General features: G+C 50.6%; 1 non-coding gene and 1 pseudogene across 3 annotated transcripts in view; both read left to right on the top strand.

The window, feature by feature from the left end:
* Positions 1-1,215: 1,215 nt before the first annotated feature.
* Positions 1,216-24,605, top strand: part of FAM239B (family with sequence similarity 239 member B) — a 35,468-nt pseudogene continuing 12,078 nt past the window's right edge. The window contains exons 1-5 of one of the 2 annotated variants that reach the window (NR_146578.1): positions 1,216-1,764; positions 15,726-16,610; positions 18,389-18,517; positions 19,887-20,030; positions 22,536-22,742. The product of NR_146578.1 is annotated as a family with sequence similarity 239 member B, transcript variant 1 (transcript). The remainder of the gene's footprint in view (positions 1,765-15,725; positions 16,611-18,388; positions 18,518-19,886; positions 20,031-22,535; positions 22,743-24,605) is intronic. The other variant, NR_146579.1, reaches the window with a different exon arrangement.
* Positions 6,655-6,728, top strand: TRI-GAT1-3 (tRNA-Ile (anticodon GAT) 1-3). The gene has a single exon. It is a non-coding gene; the product is annotated as a tRNA-Ile (tRNA).

The raw sequence follows: 24,605 nt of genomic DNA, 5'->3' as shown, positions 1-24,605 counted from the left end.
GAAGGCTGGAGTGCAGTGGTGCAATTATAGCTCACTGCAGCCTCAAACTCCTGAGCTCAAGTGATCCTCCCAACTCAGCCTCTGGAGTTGCTGAGATTACAGGCATGAGCCACTGCACTGGGCTGCCTTCTTTTTATATAAAATTTACTTAGTGCCTGAAACTATTTTATCCCAGTGCTCCAAAAGGCCTACCATGTGCCCCTAAATTCATCAGTTTTTCTAACTCCCATACTTTTTGTCCATTCATTCCTGCTCTTTCTTCCTGGACGGCTCCGTCTAGCATCTCTTGAACCCCATCTCCAACATGAACTGTTTGTCTATGGAACCTGGTGAATGGCTGTCACCCTGGCCACCAACTACACTTCTCTCCTCCACCGGATCTCCTAACTTTCTGAATCCACCTCTTACTTGTTCTCAGTTTGCGCCGTCCATTTTCTGAAGAACATCTTGTAGTAGCTGTCTAAGAAAAGGTGTCAACAAAAAGAGTCAAACTCTGTAAAATATTTGAAGAAATTTATTCTGAGCCAAATACGACTGACCATGGCCCATTACACAGCCCTCAGGAGGTCCTGAGAACATGTGCCCAAGGTGGTTGGGGTGCAGTTTGGTTTTATACATTTTAGGAAGGCATGAGACAGCAATCAAATACATTTGAGAAATACATTGGTTTGGTCCAGAAAAGAGACAAGTAGAAGTGGTGGGTGGGGGCGAGGGGGTGGAGGAAAGGGGGTTCCAGGCTGTGGGTGAATTTAAACATTTTCTGGTTGACAGCTGGTTGAGTTTATCTGAAGACCTGAGATCACAGAAGGGAATGTCTGGGTTGTGATAAGAGGTGGTGGAGACCAAAGTTTTACTATGCAGATGAAGCTTTTAGCTAGCAGGCTTCAAAGACAAGAGAGAACAGGTTGTAAAATGTTTCCTCCCTCCTGAGTAGCCGGGTCTGGACCTGTGCGCCTCTGCGCCTAAGAGGGTCGGGGCGGTAGGTCGCGGTGAGAGGTCGTCCTGGGTGCCACCCGAGGGGCGCCTCGGGCGCGGAGGGGGCGTGAGCACCTCCCCAGGGCCGCGCCTGCCCACGGTGGCGGGGCACGCCCAGGTCTCTGGCTCCTGGGCTGGGTCGCGGCAGGGGCGGAGCGCGTGCGAAGGCGACGCCCCCAGCCCCTAGGCCTCGCCCAGGCGGCTTCCGCCCGCCTCTTCAACGCGCACGCTGCTACCGAGCTGCAGGAGGCCGCGGGCGCGAGACTGGGAATGCGCAGGGCCCCCGCCTGGCTCTACAAGCCCGGGCCGCGGCCCCCGCCTTCCCCGCCGCCTCCCGGCGCTCCGTGCCCGCCCCACGAGGCCGGCGGCTGCTGCTACCTGGGGCCGTTGCTGCTTGTGCCGTGAGCGACGGCCAGCCATTGTCCCCGCCGCTCCGTCAGCCGCGCCCGGCCGCGCGCGCACCGGAAGGCGCATTGGCGTCTTGCGGGCTCCGGGCCGGGTGGGCAGGATGGCCTCCACAAGCCGCATGGCGCGCATGGGGAGCCTCCGTTGATGCCGCCGCGCCGCCCTCCGAGGCTGCATCCGCGGAAGCCCGGCTCCCCGAGCGCTCCGGCCCGGCCCGGCGCCCCGGACCTGAGTGCGTCCCCATGAAGGCGCCCGGGCTGGCCCAGGCGGCCGTGGCAGAGGAGACCCCGGACTGGGCGCCCGAGCTCTGCCCCAGCCCCGAGTCGCGGTCGCCGGAGCCGCCTGCCAACCGCCTTCAAGACTTCGACACGCTGGTCACCGTGGGTGAGTGAGTGCGCGCGGGGACTCGGCCCACAGGGGCGCGCGGCGCGGCCGGGACGCTGTCGTAGGACAAAGGGCCCCGGGTGCCCGCCTCCTGGGGAGGGCCCTGCCCCGCCGCTGCGGCTCGGGATCCCAGCGCGGGGCTGCCCCTGCGCCCTGGGTCTCCCTGGGGGGCGCTCGGAGAAGTAGAGCGCACCCCCCAGCCCCGGCGAGTCCCCCGACCGACCGGGTGCCTTCCCTGGAACGCCGACGGCTCCTGTCGGGGACCACCCTCCACCCCCAGCACACACAGCACTCTGGGGCCTGGGCCATCCGACGTCACCAAACTTCCTGTGGGTCACCTCGCCTGGGGTAAATCGTGCGCTCTCCCAGGCAGCGGCCCCAGGGACACGGGCGCGGGGTCCCTCAGGCCAGCCTCCCAGTGTGCCCAGCGGCAGGGTCCTCGGCGGGGAATGTACAGATTTCTCCAGGGGCTGCAGGAGCAGCTGGGCTCCGGGGTACAGGTGTTCCGTGGCTTTGTGGGGATGAAGACGGCGGAGTTGGGGACGGATCCTAACATGTCCTGACACCGCCTGTGCTCTTCGTCTTGTGCGTCTGAAATGGGTAATTCTTGTATTGGACGCTTTATCTCGTTTCCTTTGTCCTCTTTGAACTTAACTCCCAATGGGCAGCTTGACAGAGAGGTTTCGAGTTCTCGGTGCGCTTGGATCCGGACCACGCGCTGGTTTATGGGGCAGCCCTGAGTGGGTCAGAATATCCCAGCCGAACGTGGGCGCTGGATTTAAACAGTTGTCAGTGGTCAGCCTGTGCCTTCTTAGGGGGGTGTGTTGCTGGGACAGGTCTTCTCAGGCTCTCTAACTCCTGTTTGTCCTCTCATTTTGGACAGGAGGAAGCTAGGCTGGGAAGCCCAATGGCTCAGGGTTATAGCTTCTGGCTTAGGAAGACCAGCAGCCATAGCCCAGGAGCCTTCAGGCCTGCTGAGGAAGAGGGGACTGTGCTTCCTTCAGTGACCTTTTTGGCACCTAGGCCTTGAGGAAGGGGTCATGAGGAAACCCTGATTTTGGAAGGATAGTGGGAAGAGGGCCCTCTCTTTTTCTCCTGTCCCTCCCTTTCTCCTATTACATTCTCTCTCTCTCTCTCTCTCTTTCTCTTTTTGTCTCTCTCCCTCTTTCTGTGTCTTTATGCATTACTCTCTGTATTAGTCGTTTTTACGCTGCTGATAAAGACATACCCTAGACTTAGAAGAAAAGGAGGTTGAATTTCTTTTTTTTCTGAGACGGAGTCTTGCTCCTGTCGCCCAGGCTGAAGTGCAGTGGCGCGATCTAGGCTCACTGCAACCTCTGCCTCCCGGGTTGAAGTAATTCTCCTGCCTCAGCCTCCTGAGTAGCTGGGATTACAGGTGCGTGCCCCAACTCCTGGCTAATTTTTGTACTGTTAGTAGAGACGGGGCTTCACCATGTTGGCCAGGCTGGTCTGGAACTCCTGACCTCAGGTGATCCACCCACCTCACCCTCCCAAAGTGTTGAGATTACAGGTGTAAGCCACCATGCCTGGCCAGGAGGTTTAATTTGACTTACAGTTCCACATGGCTGGGTAAGTCCCATAATCATGGCAGAGGGCAAAAGGTACTTCTTACATGACGGCAGCAAGAGAGAATGAGGAGGAAGCAACAGCAGAAACCCCTGAAAACCCATCAGATCTCGTGAGACTTATTCACTATCATGAGAATAGCACGGGAAAGACCCGCCCCTATGATTGCAGTTACCTCCCCCTGAGTCCCTCCCACAACACGTGGGTATTCTGGGAGATACAATTCAAGTTGACATTTCAGTGGGGACACAGTCAAACCGTATAATTCCACCCCGGCCCCTCCAAATCTCATGTCCTCACATTTCAAAACTAACTGTACCTTCCCAACAGTCCCCCCAAAGTCTTAACTCATTTCAGCATTAACCCAAATGTCCACAGTCAGACAAGGCAAGTCCCTTCCACCTATGAGCCTGTAAAATCAAAAGCAAGCTAGTTACTTCTTAGATACAATGGGGATACAGGTATTGGGTAAATACAGCCATTCCAAATGGGAGAAATAGGCCAAAACAAAGGGGTTATAGGGCCCGTGCAAGTCCAAAATCCAGTGGGGCAGTCAGATCTTAAAGCTCCAAAATGATCTCCTTTGACTACAGGTCTCACATCAGGTGCAAGAGGTGGATTCCTATGGTCTTGGGCAGCTCTGTGCCTGTGGCTTTGCAGGGTACAACATCCCTCCCTGCTGCTTTCACAGGCTGACGTTGAGTGTCTGTTGTGTTTCCAGGCCTATGGTGCATGCTGTTGGTGGATCTACCTTTCTGGGGTTTGGACGACAGTAGCTCTCTTCTCACAGCTCTACTAGGCAGTGCCCCAGTAGGGACTCTGTGTGGGGGCTCCAACCCCACATTTCCCTTCTGCACTGCCCTAGCAGAGGTTCTCCATGAGGGCCTCACCCCTGCCACAGACTTTTGCCTGGACATCCAGGCATTTCCATACATCTTCTGAAATCTAGGCGGAGGTGCTCAAACCTCAATTCTTGACTTCTGTGCATCTGCAGGCTCAACACCACATGGAAGCTGCCCAGGCTTGGGGCTTCCATCCTCTGAAGCCACAGCCTGAGCTCTACGTTGGCTCCTTTCAGTCACAGATGGAGCAGCTGGAACCCAGGGTACCAAGTCCCTAGGCTGCACACAGCACAGAGACCCTGGGCCCAGCCCACAAAACCACTTTTTTCTCCTGGGCCTGTGATGGGAGGGGCTGCTGTGAAGGTCTGTGACATGGCCTGGAGACATTAGACTCCTTCCTACTTATGCAAATTTCTGCAGCTGGCTTGAATTTCTCCCCCCAAAAATGGATTTTTCTTTTCTACTGGATCATCAGGCTGCAGATTTTCAAACTTTTATGCTCTGTATCCCTTTTAAAACAGAATGCTTTCAACAGCACCCAAGTCACATTTTGAATGATTTGCTGCTTAGAAATTTCTTCCGCTAGATATTCTAAGTCATCTCTCTCAAGTTCAAAGTTCCACAAATCTCTCGGGCAGAGGCAAAATGCCACCAGTCTCTTTGCTAAAACATAATAAGAGTCACCTTTGCTCCAGTTCCCAAGAAGTTGCTCATGTCTATCTGAGACCACCTCAGCCTGGACCTTATTGTCATAATCGCTATCAGCGTTTTGGCTAAAGCCATTCAACAAGTCTCTAGGAAGTTGCAAACATTCCCACATTTTCCTGCCTTATTCTAAGCCCTCCAAACTGTTCCAACCTCTGCCTATTACCCAATTCCAAAGTCGCTGTGACATTGTTGGGTATCTTTTCAGCAATACCCCACTCCCGGTACCAATTTACTATATTAGTCTGTTTTTATGCCACTGATACAGACATACCCAAGACTGGGAAGAAAAGGAGCTTTAATTTGACTGACAGTTCCACAGGCTGAGGAAGTCTCGTAATTATGGCGGAGGGCGAAAGGCACTTCTTCCATGGTGGCAGCAAGAGAAAATGAGGAGGAAGCAAAAGCAGAAACCCTGATAAACCCATTAGATCTCATGAGACTTATTCACTATCACCAGAATAGCACAGGAAAGACCGGCCACCATGATTCAGGTACTTCCCCTGGGTCCCTCTCACACCACGAGGGAATTCTGGGAGATAAAATTCAAGTTGAGATTTCAGTGGGGACATGGCCAAACAATATCATTTTCTGTTTCTCTATTTCTGTCTTTCCCCGTCTCATTTTTTTTCTTTTCTTTTTTTTGAATGAATCATTGAAAATGACATTTGCAATTATTTCGGGATATACTTAATGACAGACTATTAAATGCAAAAAGGAAGACAGAATACACTTTTTCAAGCAAGGCTTTCCATTCCATTCATTTATTTATTCATCCCGGAGTGCTGGGATTAAAGGCAAGAGCCACCACTCCTGGCGCAAGGATTCCGTGTATATATATAGAAATACATGTGTACAGTGAAAGGAAATAAAAATGGACAAGAAGGAAGTCGAGACCCCTGCAGCCGTTATTTTTTGGGCAATAGGGAATTCGGTGGTTCTTTTGGCCTTTGGTTTTCTGGGTTTTCTGAGCTAGATTTAACCATGCTGAAAGGCTCTTGATACACGAAGTTGCCAGGCCTCAGGATTCTCAGAGTTAAAACCAGCATTGAATGGGAATGTTTGAAAACCTCACTGCAGAGCCAAGCCTCCCATGTGCAATTTGCATTTTCCCTGTGGAAGCCTGCGGTTCCCTGTAGGAAGCCGCCTCCCTTCTCCTTGAAGTCTCCTAGGTCTCAGTTTCTGCATCCACCCAATGGGGATGACAGTGAGGCGGTCAGAAGTCGCAGCTGGGGCCAAGCGGGGAGGCAGCCAGTGGCGCGGGCTCTGCAAGGAAATCAGTCGCGGGCCGGCGCGAACACGGAGCCCTTTCAGACGCTCGGGCAGCACTAGATGGTCGGGCGGTCGGTTATCTCAGTTGGTGAGCGCGTGGTGCTGATACCGCCATGGTCGCGGGCTTGATCCCCGCACCGGCCCTAGTCCCAGTTTTTTGTTGGTTTGTTTCTTTGTTTTCTCCCCATGAACTGTTTCTGCAACTCTTTTTCAAAATGCGCCTTTCAGGTTCTGTAAGCCCCATGCGGGCAGGAGCGACTTGCGGGATCTCTTGGACTCGGCCCAGAGGTTGTCGAGGACAGCCTGGCAGGGAGGAGCGGGAGAAACCCGGCCAGCGCTGGGGCGGTGGCTCCTCCCCGGAGTCCCCGCGGCTGGGGCAAAGCGGAAGGCAGCCAGAGGCGCGCGGGCTTGGCGAGGAATCGCTCGTGGACGGGCGCGAACGTGGAGCCCTTTTATACGCTCCAGGGGCACTGTGCCGTCGGGCGGCCGGTTAGCTCAGTTGGTAAGAGCGTGGTGCTGATAACACCAAGGTCGCGGGCTCGACTCCCGCACCGGCCACGGCGTTAGCTTTTTTTTTTTTTTTTCCCCGCCGCCACCCCGCCATGAACTCTTTCTACAACAGTTTGTGAAAAATGCGCCTTTCGGGTACTGTGAGCGGCGTGCGGGTAGGAGCGAACTGCAGGATCTCTTGGTCTCCCCGCCCAGAGGTTGTCGAGGGCAGCCTGCTGGGGAGAGCGGGAGGTACCAGGCATGCGCTGGGGCGGTGGCTCCGCACCCGAGTCCCTGCACCCTCCGCCACCTGCAGGCCACTCAGGATATCCAAAGCGATCCACATCTCCGGCCCTCAGCCCCCACCCCTGCCGCCCCCGCGCTTCCTGAGGCTGTGGCTCCCCTGGAGGAATCGCCCAGTGAAGACGGGTGCTCCCAGATGTCACCGCCTCGTGTTCCCTTGGCCGCCTTGCGGGGAAGTCTTAGGGTTGAAAATCCAGGTCTGCAATGAATGCATTCCACAGATGGTGTGTAGGGCTACTGCATGCCCAGCACCGTTCTAGGCGGGGAGCAAAACGGTAAGTGAGACACAAATCCCAAGCCACGTGGAGAAAGTGACCAGCCAGTAGATGCCTGCCATGTTTTTAGAGAGGCGTTCTGGTTGTGGAAGCCTCTGGAAACCTTCTCTTGCTCTTCCCCCCCACCCCCCGTTTCTTTTCAGAGACATCTTAGGCTTCACATTTCTTCCTCTTGGTTCTGCATTTTGCAGCCAGAGCAAGTGGATGAGTTTCTCGCTGGTGGTTCAAGTTTCTGGGGTGGTCAGGTGTGCTCCGTTGAACGAAGCCAGTTGTGTAGGGTCAGTGCCATTTTCTGTCACGATCCAGCAGGGGCTCCACCTGCTTTTGAAAACTCTCCAGTGGAAACATCTACTAACTCTGACCTAAATCAGTAGCTGCTCAAAATCTACAGACTACTGGCTTAAAACCTTGGTAAGTGCCCAGGGTGTAGTGAAAGTTCTCAATAAACGCCGGCTGGTGGCGCTGCTGCTACTATAAGCAACGTTAGGAGAGCCTGGGTCGGCTGACACCTGCAATAGAAACCTGTACGCAACAAGTTGGATGTCACATCTTGCAGTAGTCGTGCCGGGTTAGATGCAGGGACAGAGCACGGAGGAGTCGGTGGAGGCTGCTGCCCTCAAGTTTCCTGAACTTGAAGGGGTTTAGAATGTGCCACGGTGGCGTGAAAATTATTTTGAGCAGAAGGCATTTGAATTCCTGAAATTTCTTGTCTGCTGAAAAGCAGAGCTTCCCAAAAGATCTCAAAAGAACTCAGTTGTCATAAATCCCTTCTTGGGAAGGAACTAGGAAAGATTGACTTGGGCCAGGCGCAGTGGTTCACGCCTGTAATTCCAGCACTTTGGGAGGCCTAGGCAAGTGGATCATCTGAGCCCAGGAGTTGGAGACCAGCCCGGGCAACATGGTGAGATCCTCTCTCTATTAAAAAAAAAAAAAAAAAAAAGAAACGAAAATTAGCTGGGCATGGTAGCGCATGCCTGTAGTCCGAGCTACTCCAGAGGCTGAGGTGGAAGGATCACCTGAGCCCGGGAAGTCGAGGTTGTAGCGAGCTGAGATGGCGCCACTGCACTCCAGCCTGGGCAACAGAGTGAGACCCTGTCTAAAAACAAACAAACAAAAAAAAATGTGGTAAGATACCCATCATATGAAATTCACCATTAAAAAATAGCAGGGAGCATCGTGAATGCGAAGTATTGATGAGGATGATGGTGATGTTCCAGAACCTTCTCTGACACCAGCCTGGCGCCCCCCCCCCCCCCCAGCCTTACCTTTCCTGGCTTCATGGTGCTCATCATACTGTACTGCAAATGCTGGTTTCCTCCTTCTCGCCAGCTAGACCCGTGGTACCCCACAGGGAGGGAATGGCGACTCACCTACCAGGCGCTTAATAAGTGTTTGTTGGCCAGTGGACCTCCTACGCTCCCTGGGGAGAGGGACTGGGACTGGGACTGGGACTGGGACGTGTGTACACACCTGCAGCTACAAGACTCGGTGGGGAGGGTGCACAGAGCCTCGACCCTGTAAGAGAGGCGATCGGGCTGAGGAAGACGGGGCACTGGGGCTGGATGGATGGGACGGACATGTGGAGAGGGTGGGTTCGTGGATTTGTTCACCCGTTCATTTATTGGTTTCTATGCATCCATCCATCTTTCACGCCTTGAGCGTGCGTTCTGGGCAGGGCCTGTAATGGGCACCGAATGAGTAACATATCGTCTCTCCCTTCAAGGTACACGCAGCCTGGGTGGGTGAGGGGAGAGACGGTAGGGTGACATGGGAACAGTTTGGGGGTTGGGAAGCGCTCTTGTTAAAAATTCAAACTTTGGGTCCCCTCTCAGATTTATAAACCTAAACGTTTGCTGGTGGACCTAGGACTCCGCGTATCCAGGCAGGATCCTCCGCTGATTGGGGTGCACGATGACGTCAGAACACGTGGATAACGTGATAACTTGTGGGCCAGGGGCTTTGGAACCTCAAAGAATGTGATAACTTTTGGGTCAGGGGCTTTGGAACCTCAAAGACCTCCGCCTGGGAGATCGGGGACAGCTCCCGGAGGAGGTGACATCTGAGTGTTAAACACATCCGTGACAGGCAATGAGAAAATAAGGTGGGTCCGCTGTGCTGATCGGCCCTAGGGGCCGCGGCGGCTGTCCCGGCCGGGCAGCGTCGCCTTCCGAGGTGTCTTGGCCTGCGGGGCACTCGTAGCCCGCCGCTTTCCCAGGTGAGGCACGTCGTCGCCCAGCGACCCAGGTTGGAGTCCCCGCTTCAGCCGCCGCGGCGGATGCGGCGGCCAGGCTTCTCCGGGCCAGGGCAGCGTTGCACGTGTGGCCCCGCTGGGCCCCGAGCAGCTGCGGCAGGTCCTGAAGCGGGTGACGAAGGCGCAGCTGCTGCCGCCGCGGCCCATCAGGCCGCCCTCCAGCGGGACCCTGGCGCCGAGCCCCCGTGCCCGCCACGCCTGCTGCCGCCCCAGGTGAGGCTCCGGGAGCGACGTGGGGAAACTGAGGCCCGGAGGGGGCCGAGGCCCCGCGGCGGGGTTAGCTGCTTGGCCGGGGTGGCCAGTATCCGGCCCCAGTCAAGACTCAGGGTGTCCCGAAGCTGAGCCCCTTAGGGACGGCGTTCGGCCCCCACCTGCCACCACCCTGGCGTTTTCACCCCAGGAGCCTCACTTGAGGAGCCGATGCTCACGCTGGGCCCTCTGCCTGGGACGCCGTCGTGCCCTCTCTGCCTCCACAGCCCTGCCCGGGGCTCCCCTGTGCTGCCTAGCTCGTCTGACACGCCTTTGACCACTCGTTCAGCCTCTGTGGGGCACTCAGAGACGGGGTTGCCCGCACTCCCACCTAAGTGCAGGAGGTGCGGCCTTCAACACACTCGAAGAACGAACATCAGGCAGGTTCTGGGAGGGACAGGGGGCCGCTTTAGAGTGGGTGGGCCCGTAGGCCAGACGCTGCCCCTGAGACCTGAATGAATTAAAAGGAACCAACTGAGCTTTTCAGGTCTCAGGCACAGCAAGTGCCACGGCCCAGCATTTTCTTCTCTTCATTGCTGCTTCTCAGCATTTTCTTTCTCTCTCTCTCTCTGTCTCTGTCACTGTTTTTGCATACAGATACTATGCTTTTGGGGTGGGTACTCTCATTGTCCTTCCAGGGGTCCTACACGGCGTCTGTAAAATTCCATCTCATTTCATTGCTGGCGCTGTAAATAAAATTAGTCTTAACCCAAAATTGCCAAAAGAAGAGGGCTTTTTCCACTAGAAGAGATGCGTTAGAGAATAGAATCAGCGATCTTCACTCCTGAGTTTTTTCGACTTCACTCGTGATTTTAGCTGCCTGGGGTTGTTGTATCCAGTTCATCATCAAGAGTGGAGAGTTGTCTTGCTAAGGTTTAGGAAGGCAAGTATGATTCTGCCCAAATGCCACACTATCTAGAGGTGTGACCTTGGGCAACTCGACCTTTTTGGACTGTGGTCTGGGTCCGAAGGCTGCAAGACGCCATCCCGGGACAGCCATCTGCTGAGCCTCTGCTCTGTGCCGGGCAGTGTTCTGGGTTGCTTAGCTCGCAGTAGTGTTTTTGTACCAGCATTTTGCAGGGAGGTTGAGTGGCTTTGTCCAAGATCCCTCAGGTGTGGCTGCTCTCCAGAGCCCTTGTTCTCCCCAGCACACCCTGCTGTATGTGGCCACAGCTTTTTGGGTTTGGAATGGAGTAAAAAATGACATACTTTTCATAAAGTAAAAGCAAACTTAGTCAAGATCAGGCAGCATGATGGGACTTATTCTGTAGCTAATCTGATGGAGACGTATAAATTCTACCTCCAATAATGTACCTTTGTAGCACATTCTGCTAATACTTTTTCAGCCCCAGCTGTGTCGTGGAAGCCACGAAGTCAAACCGGATGTGTACTTTGCCCCTCAGTAGCTGATGAACTAACAGGAGATAAAACATGACCCAGATACCTGCTAATCAAGGCCTGAAAGCTAGTGATGAAGAACTAAATGTAGTTAGAGAAAGGGAGATTGTTTCTGGCCGAGGAAATCACAAGCAGCTTTGTTGAAGAAGTGGTATCTGAACTAGATTTGAAAGGGTGAGTCTGAGTTGAAAATGCAGAAGAGGAGAGGCAGGTTCTGGAGCAGGTGGCGGGGTGCATTTCAACAACCACAGCAGACTGCCCAGTGGTTCGCTGTGGGGGATGGTGTGGATCAGAAGCACAGACCAGTGGACACACTTGGGTCAGATGGAGGCCCCTGTCTCTCCGCATCTTCCCTCTTCCCACCCCCCAGAAATGTCCAGTTCCATCCAACATGCCAACCCCTTTTCATGCATCCATGCATGTACACATTTTTCTTTGTACTCAGAATGCCCTACCTGGCAAAAATTCCCAGCCTTCAAAACGCCCCTCAGAGATCACTGCTTCTGGTCTGTTCTGCCTCTTTATTGCACCTGTTGTACCATGATGACATTTTTCCCGTCTGCCTCACCTGTCTGCATTCCTTAGGGAAACTTGTCTGCCTTCGAAATCGTCAGCGGAGCTTTTGAAAGGGCAGATCGGGTCTCCGACCCAGGAGATCGATTCAGCAGGTCTGCGGGGACTGAGGCATGGCAGGGAAACTGCCCACCATCTCAAGGGTGAGGCTAGGAGTTGGCTAGTGTGTATGTATTCCATCCAGAAATATTTAGTAAATGTTCACCAAACAAAATAAAAACACACAAGAAAGCATGAGGCGTAATACCCACGGGGTAAGCCAGTCAGGATAGAGGATGAATACATTATTAGGCCGGCTTTGCTGCTGTGGTTATCCTAAAACAATAGGGTTTAGGTTGTGTGTCTGTGTGTATATGTATTTTGTTGTTGTTTTGGGGTTTTGTTGAGACAAGGTGTTGCATTCTCACCCAGGCTGGACTGATCACGGCTCACTACAGCCTCAAACTCCCAGACTCAAACGATCCTTCCCCCTCAGCCTCCCGAGTATCTGGGGCTACAGGCATGTACCATCAAGCCTAATTTTAAAATGTTTTGTAGGCGGGGCTCGGTGGCTCACCCCTGGAATCCCAGCACTTTGGGAGGCGGCGGCGGGTGGATCACCTGAGATCAGGAGTTTGAGGCCAGTCTGGCCAATGTGATGAAACCCCGTCTCTACTAAAAATACAAAAATTAGCCAGTCACGGTGGCGCATGCCTGCAATCCTAGCTACTAGCGAGGCCAAGTCAGGAAAATCGCTTGAACTCGGGAGGCAGAGGTTTCAGGGAGCCAAGAATGCACCACTGCAGTCCAGCCTAGGCAACAGTGAGACTCTTTGTTTTGGGTTTTTGTGTTTTTTTTTAACATTTTGTAGGGACAGGGTCTTGCTCTGTTGCCCAGGCTGGCCCTGAACTCCTGGCCTCAAGCAATCCTCCCACCTCAGCATCCCAAAGCACTGCTACTGCAGGTGTGATTTGTGTTTGGCCCTTAGAGAGAGATTCTGTGTGATTGGTAGTAAAATGAAACAGACATCGTTCTTGAAGGATATGCACAGCCAATCTAGTTGTCATTTGATTTGCACGTAGCCCAGGAATGGGGACTCCCAGGGTTGTGGTGCCACCTCGGTACACTTGACCTCTGTTATTTGTACTAGTGTATAACAAGAGCCAGACGAGAGACACACTCCAGCCTGATCTCAGTGAGGGTCTTTATTCTGTCCTGTTTGACATTTTTATTGACTTTCTACTGTTTGAGGGTCACACCAGAAGGTTGAGTCCAAAGAGGGCCAGTTGGTGGTCCCAAATAAGTGGTTCTCAACCGAGGACAGTTTTGCCCCACAAGGGGCACTTGGCAATATCTTGTCAGGACTCGGGATCACTACTAGCATCTAGTGGGTAGAGGCAGAGATGCTGCTGGGCATCCTCCAGCCACCCATGTCAAAGGATTATGTTCTGAAATGTTGGTTGTGAAATCATGCTCTGGATGACGAGGTTTGCCTCTTTTTCTCCCTGGAGGAAAATGCTCATTATTTCTGCTCTGTGAGGGCAGGAGCCTTGTTTCTTTTGCTTCCTGACCTTCTCCCCTAAGCTGTATGAGAACTGTTTCTCTGACACCTGTAGCAGTGTCTCATGCACATGGTCAGTACTCAATAAATATTTGTGGGATGTTGTCGAAGGTAGCTCTCCCCTTTGGTAGGTGTTTTGCTATTACAGACAGTGCTGCCTTGAACCTCATAGAACATAACATCTTTATGGCCATCTAAGTTTTTTTAATTTTGGAATCCAGGAAGTAGAATTACTGGGTCAAAAAGCACATGTATTTGAAATTTTGTTAGATATATTTGTAAAAAGTTGTTGAGGATATTCAGCCCGGCCGGGCACGGTGGCTCACGCCTGTAATTCCAGCACTTCGAGAGGCTGAGTGGGGCAGATCACTTGAGGTCAGGAGTTTGAGACCAGCCTGGACAACATGGTGAAACCCTATCTCTACTAAAAATACAAAAATTAACCAGGCGTAGTAGCACGTGTCTGTAATCCCAGCTACCCGGGAGGCTGAGGCAGGAGAATCACTTGTACCTGGGAAGCGCAGGTTGCAGTGAGCTGAGATCATGCCATTGCACTCCAGCCTGGACAACAGAGCAAGACCTTCTCTCAAAAAAAAAAAAAAAAAAGAAAAAGATATTCAGCCCTACTCCTAGATACATGCCCCTGGAGAAACTCACACATGTACACACATACATCCGTGGAGATTCAGAGCAGACCTTAGAGCAGAAGGTTGGAAAGTACCCATCCATCAATAGGAGATTGGTAAACTCATACTGCAGAGAAAATCAACCCCTGAGAGCTACACATGTCAATGAGGGTAAAATTCACAAAGCAAAATGGAGTAAAGAAACCTGAAAAAAGCCCTATCAAGTTGCAGGAGATGATATCATTTCTATAAAGTTTTAAAGCATTTCAGAACTGAACTGTATGTTTTTAGAAATATCTGCATATGCCATGTAAATATTTAAAAAGCATAAGAATGCTGAACAGCACATTCAGGACAGGGTGAAGAAACGGGCATGCAGGTTGGGCAGGAGGATCCTGGGTAACATTGTCCTTTATGGCTTTTTTGTGGCTTCTAGAATTTCATTAGAAACTTTTTTAAAAACATGGTCCCACATTATGAATTACATCTGATTTTAGAGTACTAAAAACTCCAAGCAAAAACACATGGGTGAAACTGTTGAGAAGGCTCTTATTATCTCTTAATTCATCATGAAATCAACTTAGTGGATTATGACTAGTATTTTTTTTAAAGTGATGTAGATTAGGGTCAGTGCGGTAGCTCACACCTGTAATCCCAGCACTTTGGGAGGTCGAGGCGGGCGGGTCACTTGAGTTCAGGAGTTTGACACCAGCCTGTCCAACATGGTGAAACCCCGTCTCTACAGAAAATACAAAAATTAGCCAGGCATGGTGGCGTGTGCCTGTAATCCCAGCTATACAGGAGGCAGAAGCAGGAGAATCACTCGAACCTGGGAGGCGGAGGTTGCCATGAGCTAAGATCGCGCCACTGCACTCCAGCCTGGGCAACAGAGTGAGACCGTCTCCAAAAAAAAAAAAAAAAAAAAAAAAAAAGGTGATGTAGAAATGAAGAATAGATACAATCAGCAGGCATTTACATAGGAATGCTAAGTAGTTCCATCAGCTTTTCATTTATGTATGCAAATATTTATATACGTGCATACTAGGTCATAATGTAAAATGTGTCACTGTGGTCTGTTTTTGTTTTTTGTTTGTTTTTGAGACTGAGTCTAGCTCTGTCACCCAGGCTGGAGTGCAGTGGCAGGATCTCGGCTCACTGCAGCCTCTCCGCCTCCCAGGCTCAAACAATTCTCCTGCCTCAGCCTCCCAAGTAGCTGGGAGTACAGGAATGTGCCACCACACCCGGCTAACTTTTGTATTTTTAGTATAGATGGGGTTTCACCATGTTGACCAAGCTGGTCTGGAACTCCTGGCCTCAAGTGATTCAGCCTCCCACAGTGCTGGGATTACAGGCGTGAGCCACCGTGCCCGGCCATTTTGTTTGTTTTTTGAGATGGAGTCTCGCTCTGTCACCCAGGCTGGAGTGCAGTGGCGCGATCTTGGCTCACTGCAACCTCGTCCTCCCAGGTTCAAGCGATTCTCATGCCTCAGCCTCCAAAGTAGCTGGGATTACAGGTGTGCACCACCACACCCTGCTAATTTTTGTATCCTTAGTAGAGAAGGGGTTTCACCATGTTGGCCTGGCTGGTCTTGAACTCCTGACCTCAAGTGATCTGCCCACCTTGGCCTCCCGAAGTGCTGGGATTACAGGTGTGAGCCACTGCGCCCGGCCTGTATCACTGTGGTTTCTGGTCAGAAAGGTCTGAAAAACAGTTAATACAAACACGTTACATAAATTGTATATGTAAGACGTAATTTAGAAAAAATGTCAGTAGTGGATTTACTATGAGAGCAGAATTGCAGACATGTTGATAAGCACAATGCTTCTTTTCCCTTTCTTGTCTTTCTGTAGGAAAGCAACTAGAAGCCATTTGTGTCAAGGTAACGTCTGGAGAAACAAAAGGTCAGGAACGGCCAACGTCCCTACTGGCCACAGTCCAGCCCCAATCTGCAAGACAGAGCCAGCCGCCCCGGGGGAATTCCCGCCTGGTGGGACTCCACGTCACCAGCCCCCAGCTGCTCAGGGTACAGCCCCTCGTGAGAACCGAGCCACAGTCATGTTTCCTACATCAGCCTCCTGCTCAGGGGTTTGTACAGAGACCACTGCCAGCCCTCTAGGTGGTCCCTGCAAAGAGAGTCCCAGCTCCCAAGGCTCCAAATGGACAGGGCACCATGTTGACCCCTTCGTTGGCCTCCAGTTCGCCGACTGTAACATGTTTCATCCAGTTCAGGACGTTTATTTATTTCCAACTTGCATACAAAACATACTGAGAAACTAAAACCATCGTTAAAAGTGAAGACACGTTGAGACAGGTATCTCGACCTGCCAAGTATACAGCTAAAGCTGAGTTCATAAAAAGGGATGATTTGGCCGACGGTCATCTGCCAGATTCTGATGATGATTCAGAACTCAGTGTGGAAGAACATCAGAGGGAGAGGCAGGCGCTCTTTGACTTATCAAGCTGCTCCCTGAGGCCCAAAAGCTTCAAGTGTCAGACTTGTAAAAAGTCATATATAGGGAAGTGGGGACTGGCCCAGCATTTTAAACTTAATCCAGGCCATGGCCAGCTGGACCCTGAGATGGTGCTATCTGAGAAAGCCAATGGGAGCACCCTCCGTGGGTGCACAGAGGAAAGGACGCTCAGCCTGACCTTCCCGGGGCTGTCCGTGCCAGCGGCTCCGCGTGAGGGAGGGGCCCGCTCCTGCTTGGTGAGAGAGTCAGCACGCGGTGGCCTGGGTAATGTTTGCATCTGGGTGTCGTTTTCGGCCATTCTCACACTGTTATAAAGAAATACTTGAGACCAGGTATTTTATAAAGAAAAGAGGTTTAGTTGGCTCACAGTTCCACAGGCTGTACGGGAAGCATGGTGCTGGCATCTGCTCAGCTTCTGGGGATGCTTCAGAATCAGTCACGGTGAAGGCAGAGTGGGAGCAGGCATGTCACGTGGCCACAGCAGGGACAAGGGGCCGGGGTAGGTGCTGCACACTTTTTTTTTTCCTTTTTTTTTTTGGAGACGGAGTCTCGCTCTGTAGCCTAGGCTGGAGTACAGTGGCGCGATCTCGGCTCACTGCAAGCTCCGCCTCCTGGTTTCACGCCATTCTCCTGCCTCAGCCTCCCGAGTAGCTGGGACTACAGGCGCCCGCCACCGCGCCTGGCAATTTTTTCTATTTTTAGTAGAGACGGGGTTTCATCGTGTTAGCCAGGATGGTCTCGATCTCCTGACCTCATGATCCACCCACCTCAACCTTCCAAAGTGCTGGGATGACAGGCGTGAGCCACCGCGCCCGGCAGGTGCCACACACTTTTAAACAACCAGCTATCATGAGAGCAGCACCAAGCGGATGGTGCTAAAGCAATGAGAGATTCAACCATATCAGTCCTTATTCCTGCCTCTGCCTGCCCATCATCCTTAAGTTGACCTTTACAATGCCTGATGGGGACTCAGGCGAAGGCTCAGGCAGAACCAGAATCATTCTTGTGGAAGATCTGAGACCCCTCATGTTGTCTGCACTGCTGCCGAACAGGCTGGAAGATGCATGTCTGTGTGTCGGCATGATTTAGTGAGCAAATCTGATGGGAACGCAGCCGTTTCTTTAGGTTTGGTCAGTAAAACCAATGGCAGTGCACTCTTGGCTGACGCTGCCATTACAGAGGGTGATGTTGAGAAAGGCAGTCCCTGGGGATGCTTCCGGTGTGTCAATAGCCTCTGGCTGCTTAGCGTGTCCTCTCCCTCCTGCCCCTTCTGAAACTCCCGATAAAGCAGGTGTGAGTCGCTGTAAGTTTGCATTATCACATCAAAATTTTTTTTCCAACATATTTTATTGTAGTAAAATATACATAGCATAACATTTACCATCTTAGCCATATGTAGGTGTGTGGTTCAGGGGCACTAAATACATTCACGATGTTGTACGGCCATCACCCCCACACATCTCCAGAACTCTTTTCATCTTGTACAACTAAAACTCTGAGCTTCAAGTTGGGGTAAGCGGGGCAGTGGGGGGACTAAAACTGTCCCCATAAACACCAACTCTCCATTCCCTTTTTCCCCAACCCTGGCAGCCACTATTCCACTTTCTGTCTCTATGATTTTGACTACGCTGCTTTCTTCACAGAAGTGGAATCACAGAATATTTGTCTTTCTGTGACTGGCTTATTTCACCTAGCACAGTATTCTCAAGGTTCATGTTGTAGAAAGTGTCTCAGTGTCCTTTAAGGCGGAGTAAAATTTCACTGTGCATACCACATTTTGCTCATTCATTCATCTGTCAATGGACACTTGGGTTGCTTCCACCTTTTAGCTATTATGAATAATGCTGCTGTGAACACGGGTGTTCAATTACCTCCTTGAGGCCCTCCTTTCAATTTTTTGGGGTATATATCCAGAAGTAGGATTGCTAGATTTTAAGTGGAATTTTCATTTTCTTTAGTTCCTTTTCAGACTGTTCATTGTTTGTTAGTATTTAGAAATGCAGCTGATTTTTGTCTATTGACTTTTTTTTTTTTTTTTCCAGTCTCACTCTGTCGCCCAGGCTGGAGTACAGTGGAGCAGTCTGAGTTCACTACAACCTCCACCTCCCAGGTTCAAGTGATTCTCCTGCCTCAACCTCCCGAGTAGCTGGGACTACAGTCACGTACCACCAGTAATTTTTTTATATTTTTAGCAGAAACGGGGTTTCACCACGTTGGCCAGGCTGGTCTTGAACTCTTGACCTCAAGTGATCCATTCACCTTGGCCTCCCAAAGTGCTGGGATTACAGGTGTGAGCCACCGCACCTGGCCTGTGTATTTACCTTGTATGCTACTACATTGCTGATTTCATTTATTAGGTTTTTTTTTTAATTCTTTTTTAAAAAAGAAAAAAGAGACAGAGTCTCGCTCTCTTGCTCTGTCGCCCAGGCTGGAGTGCAGTGGCACAATCTTGGCTCACTGCAACCTCTGCCTCCAGGGTTCAAGTGATTCTTGTGCCTCAGCCTCCCAAGTAGCTGGGACCACAGGTGCCCACCACCATGCCTGGCTAATTTTTGTATTTTTTTGTAGAGATGGGGTTTTGCCAGGTTTTGCCATGTTGGTGAGGCTGGTCTCGAACTCCTGACCTCAAGTGATCTGCACACGTCTGACTCCCAAAGTGCTGGGATTATAGGCACAAGCCACCATGCCTGGCCTCATTTATTAGTTCTAACGTGTGTGTGTGCACACACGCCCTTTAGGCATTTCTACTTATAAGATCCTATCTGCAAATAGAGATAATTTTACTTCTTTCTTTTCAATTTTGATGCCTTTTATTTCCTTTTCTTGCCTAAGTGTGCCGGTTAGAACTTCTAGCACTGTGTTGCATAGAAGTAATGAATGCAGACATCCTTGTCTTGTTCCTAATTTTAGAGGAAAAGCTTTCAGTTTTCACCATTGAGTGTGATGTGGCTTTTTCATATATGACTTTTATTATGTTGAGGTAGTTTTCTCTATTCTTAGTTTGCTGAATGTTTTTAATCATGAAAGCGTGTTGAATTTTGTCAGTGCTTTTTCTCCATTAACTGAAAAAAATCATACATTTTTGGAAATGGAAATGCAGCCACAAATAATGGCCAGCCTGGGCTCTCCTGGTGCCCACTTGCCCCAGCCGGCCTCTTACACCCCGGGCTCTGCTCCGCTCTGAGGCTGCAGCCCAGACTGCCTGTGCCCCACACTTACCATGGATGCAGGGTCAGTGCGCCCCTCTGGAGCTGACAGCCCAGCCTGTGCCCAGGACCTTTCTGCCTTCCCTTCCCGCCGTGTCCTGAGAGCTCACCGTGCCCTCTGTGGCCCCGACCCCAAGGCTTGTTTGTTTCTTGGCCTGCTCCTCCCTGCCCTGCGCCATACGGAACACACAGTAGGTGCTCACTGGGGAGTGAAGGAAACGCCCACCACTGAGTGGCTGCTCAGGGGCTGAGAACCGAAACTTTGTTTAGGTTTTCTTCTGTGTTTTCCTTGCCTCAGGTTTAAACTTTTTTCTTAATCTTTATCTTCACAAAGGTTGAAAAAGATCATCTAGCAAAGCCTTTTTTCCCAGCTACATATAAGGAATTTGAAAGTCGCATAAAATGGTTAAGAAAATGTGCCAAGATTACCTCAGTAATTCTGGTCTGTGTTCTCAGGAGACCCTGGAAATAAACAATGGTAAGGTACAATCTCCCATGGCAGAAAGAGTTTCCCTCAGAGTTAGCCAAAACAAGGGCCAGGCGCAGTGGCTTACACTTGTAATCCCAGCACTCTGGGAGGCTGAGGCAGATGTATCACTTGAGGTCAGGGGTTCAAGACCAGCCTGGCCAACATGACAAAACCCTAATACAAAAATTAGCCGGGCATGGTGGTACATGCCTCTAATTCCAGTTATTCAGGAGGCTGAGACACAAGAATTCATTTGAACCTGGGAGGCGAAGGTTGCAGTGAGCTGAGATTGTACCACTGCACTCCAGCATATGCGACAGAACGAGACTGTCTCAAAAAAAAAGTCCATGAATGAAGGAGAATGTTTTTAGTAATGATATTTTCCTAGTCAGCCTCATTTTAGCTTCTTCCCATCAAGTGAAATTTTTTTTTCTTAAAGCAATAAATGCGACCGGGCGCGGTGGCTCACGCCTGTAATCGCAGCACTTTGGGAGGCCAAGGCAGGTGGATCACAAGGTCAGGAGATCAAGACCATCCTCCTGGCTAACAAGGTGAAACCCTGTCTCTACTAAAAAAAATACAAAAAATTAGCCGGGCGTGGTGGCATGTACCTGTAGTCCCAGCTACTCAGGAGGCTGAGGCAGGAAAATCGCTTGAACCCAGGAAGTGGAGGTTGCAGTGAGCCAAGATCATACCACTGCACTCCAGCCTGGGCGACAGAGGGAGACTCCGTCTCAAAAAGAAAAAAAGCAATAAATGCTCTTCCAGAAAACTCAAAAATGAAGATAAGCTAAAAGAAAATGGAAAGCACCAGAATACCAGAATCTTTCCACTCACTGATGATCAGAGTTAATACCTCAGGTACCCTTTTCGTCTTTCTGTTTTTGAGACAAGGTTTCACTCTGACTCTCAGGCTGAAGTACAGTGGTGCAAATACAGCTCACTGTGGCCTCGATTTCCCAGGCTCAAGCAATCCTCCCTTCTGGGCCTCCCAAAGTGCTGGAATTATAGGCATGAACCACTACACCCAGCCCTGTTTTCTTCTTTACGTGGGTTTTTGGGGATGGGTTATATAGGAGCCATTTCATTATTGTTTGTGGTTTTTCTGACACAATTCTCATTTCAGTGTCACTGTTATCATCAAACTGCTTTTAGCTACATTGGATTTTTTGGGGTTTTTTGCATAGAGTCTCGCTCTGTCGCCCAGGCTGGAGTGCAGTGGTGCAATCTCGGTTCACTGCAACCTCGGCCTCCCGAGTTCAAGTGATTCTCCCACCTCAGCCTCCCCAGTAGCTGGGATCACAGGCACCCGCTACCATGCCCGGCTAATTTTTGTATTTTTAGTAGACATGGGGTTTCACCATGTTGTCCAGGCTGGTCTTGAACTCCTGATCTCAACTGATCCACTTGCCTTGGCCTCCCAAAGTGCTGGGATTACAGGTGTGAGCCACTGCGCCCAGCCCCTGCTGCGCTTTAAGCAGAGAGAAAAACACTGTAGTCATAAGAGCTATTAAATACAGTACATAATTTTAAAACATTTTTGAAACACAGAAAACACATACTTTTTTGATCTCAGGAAGGAGGAGGAGTTAGTAGGGGAGGCTTGCACCCATCCATGCTTCTGAGCGTGCACTCACACATGCATGCACACTACCACTCATTCACATACACTCACACACACTTGCACTCATGCCCTTTACACTGTGCACATTCAGATCCACACCATGTACACTCATACACTGGCAAACCCACACATGCATCACACCCCTACACTTGCACTGTCACATGCACACTTAAGCACGTTCACACCCTCATGGTTACACTCACACACACAGCCTCACATATGCACACTCACTCAACACTCATACATACACATTTACATGCTCTCATTTATACACACTGATACATCCACACACCATCACACTACACACACTTTTACATGCTTTCACACATACCCGTTGGATATGGACACACCCACAAGCACTCATTCCCACACATGCTTGCACTGCACACACTGACACACTACATGCCTTCATAGTTGACACACACTTCCATGCACATTCACTCACCTTTTTGCACACTCATTCACACTCCCATCACACTGACACACTTCTGCCTGTCCTCACACGCCTACACACTTGCCACACACACTGAGTGTTCCATGCACACTCACACATCCTGCGCAGTCACTAACTTACCCTCATGACCACACACACACACACACAGACTTTCAAATGCACTCATCCACAGACACATATTCTCATATGCATACGCACTTGCACACACACCCTCGCACGCTTGTTCACACTCCCTGACATGCAGTCACACTAGCCATCACTCATGCTCACACGCATACACACTCACACCCCCTTTGCACACACACTTCCCCCACCCACTCACCCCAAGCCCACCTGACAGGTGACACACTTTACCTGCAGGCTGGGATGGCTGGTCCTCTGCCTGGGCTTCGAGGTTCCTTGGGGGCAGCGGCTCATGCTGGTTTTCCCACTGCAGTGTCTTCTGTGGCTTCAGCGTCACCTAGTGCAGGCTGCCATTCAACAAACGCATTGTCAACAGTCAACCAAAAGAAACCCATTGGCCACCATACCCTGAGGACTAACCCTGACACAGATGCCCTTCCAGATGCCCTCAGTAGTCTAACTGATTCCATCGCCCCAGCCTTGGGGGAGAAGCACTGCTGCCTATGCACTCCATTTACAGGTGAGACTGGGAGAGGTTTAGGGAGTGGCCAAGTCCCCTGCCTACACAGCTGCCTCCCAATCTATCTTCTCACCCTCCCCCTTCTCAGGCTAAAATCACACTCGATGTTTTTATGGGATCATTTGATCTGGACATTGTCAAAGAAAAAATTGCACCAGACAAGTTAAACCTTCAAGGAAGGACTCAGTCAGGACTACTGCAACACGGAAGAGAGAAGGAGCTTAACTTTGTTGAAACAAAAGGCTGGAGAGTTTTTAAGTGCCGGGGTGAGATGCTGAGAAGGAACTGGAGACATCAGGAAGAGGTTAGGAAATGCTGTAAAGCTATCTGCGTTGGCTCATTGGAATTTTTCAAAACTAGGAATCTGCCCTTCTACAAAAACTGAGACACAGATGTATCATCTCCTTCAATAATTGCATTTTAAAGGGATGGCTCTGAAGTCTTGAGAAAGGCATTCCTGGGTTGCAAAACTAGGAAGAGGCTAGAAGAAAATTTGGGAGAAGATTTGCATCTCAAAGAGATAGAGAAAGAACTCACAATTGCAAGTTTCCTAAAATAAATCCTCCGTGAAAAAAGGAGGCCTGATGGATGGAACTGGAGGTCATTATGTTAAGTGAAATAAGCCAGGCACAGAAGAAAAATACTGCATGTTCTCACTCACATGTGGGAGCTTAAAACCTGGATCTCATGGAGATAGAGAGTAGATTGGTGGCTACCAGAGGCTGGGAAGGGAGCAGAGAAGGGAGATAAAAATAGTTTGATTAATGGATGCAAATATCTTAGGTTTTTTTGGTTTTTTGTTTTGTTTTTTTGGAGACAGGATTCTGCTCTGTTGCCAGACTGAAGTACAGTGGTGCGATCATAGCTCACGGTAACCTTGAACTCCTGGGCTCAAGCAATCCTCCTACCTCAGCCTCCCCAGTAGCTAGGACTACAGGTGCATGCCACCATGCCAGGCTGGCTTTTGTGTTTTTTTTTTGTAGAGACAGGGTCTCACTAGGTTGCCCAGGCAGGTCTCGAGCTCCTGAGCTCAAGAAATCCTCCCACTTTGCAAATATACACTTCGATAAGAGAAAAAAGACATAGTGTTCAATAGATCAGCAAGTGACTGTAGTTTACAATAATCTATTGTACATGTCTTTTCTTCTTCTTTTTTTTTTTTTATTTTTTTTTTTTGAGACAGAGTCTCGCTCAGTCACCCAGGCTGGAGTGCAGTGGCATGATCTCCACTCACTGCAGCCTTGACTTCCCAGGCTCCAGAGATCCACCCACCTTAGCCTCTTGAGTATGGGACTACAGGTACACAACACAACACCTGGCTAATTTTTGTATTTTTTGTAGAGACAGGGTTTCGCCATGTTGGCCAGGCTAGTCTCAAACTCCTGGACTCAAGTGATCCACCCACCTTGTAGCAGGATGAGCCGCAGACAAAACCTCTCAGACCCCGAGTTGTAGAAGGAAGGGCTTTATTCAGCTGGGAGCATCGGCAAGCTACTGCCTTAAAATCCGAGCTCCCCGAGTGCACAATTTCTGTCCCTTTTAAGGGTTCACAACATTAAAGATTTCACATGAAAGGGTCGTGATTGATTTGAGCAAGCAGGGGGTACGTGACAGGGGCTGTATGCACCGGTGGTCAGAGAGAAACAGAACAGGGCAGGGAGTTTCACAGTGTTCTTCTATACAATGTCTGGAATCTATGAATAACACCGGTTTCTAAGTCATGAGTTGATTTTTAACTACTGGGTGTAGGCCAGGCAGGCCCAGGCCTGGTTTCAGGCCTGGCACCGAGCTGCCTGTCTTTGGTTTTACTTCCTTGCTGTTTTTGCTTAAAACAGGTACTGAGTATAAAACAATATAAAATAA

The sequence above is a fragment of the Homo sapiens genome, chromosome X, assembly GCF_000001405.40.
Source record: "Homo sapiens chromosome X, GRCh38.p14 Primary Assembly".
In the NCBI taxonomy this organism is placed as follows: Eukaryota; Metazoa; Chordata; class Mammalia; order Primates; family Hominidae; genus Homo; species Homo sapiens.
The sequence above is the reverse complement of the archived record's forward strand: the minus strand, read 5'-3'. Positions and strand labels throughout refer to the sequence as shown.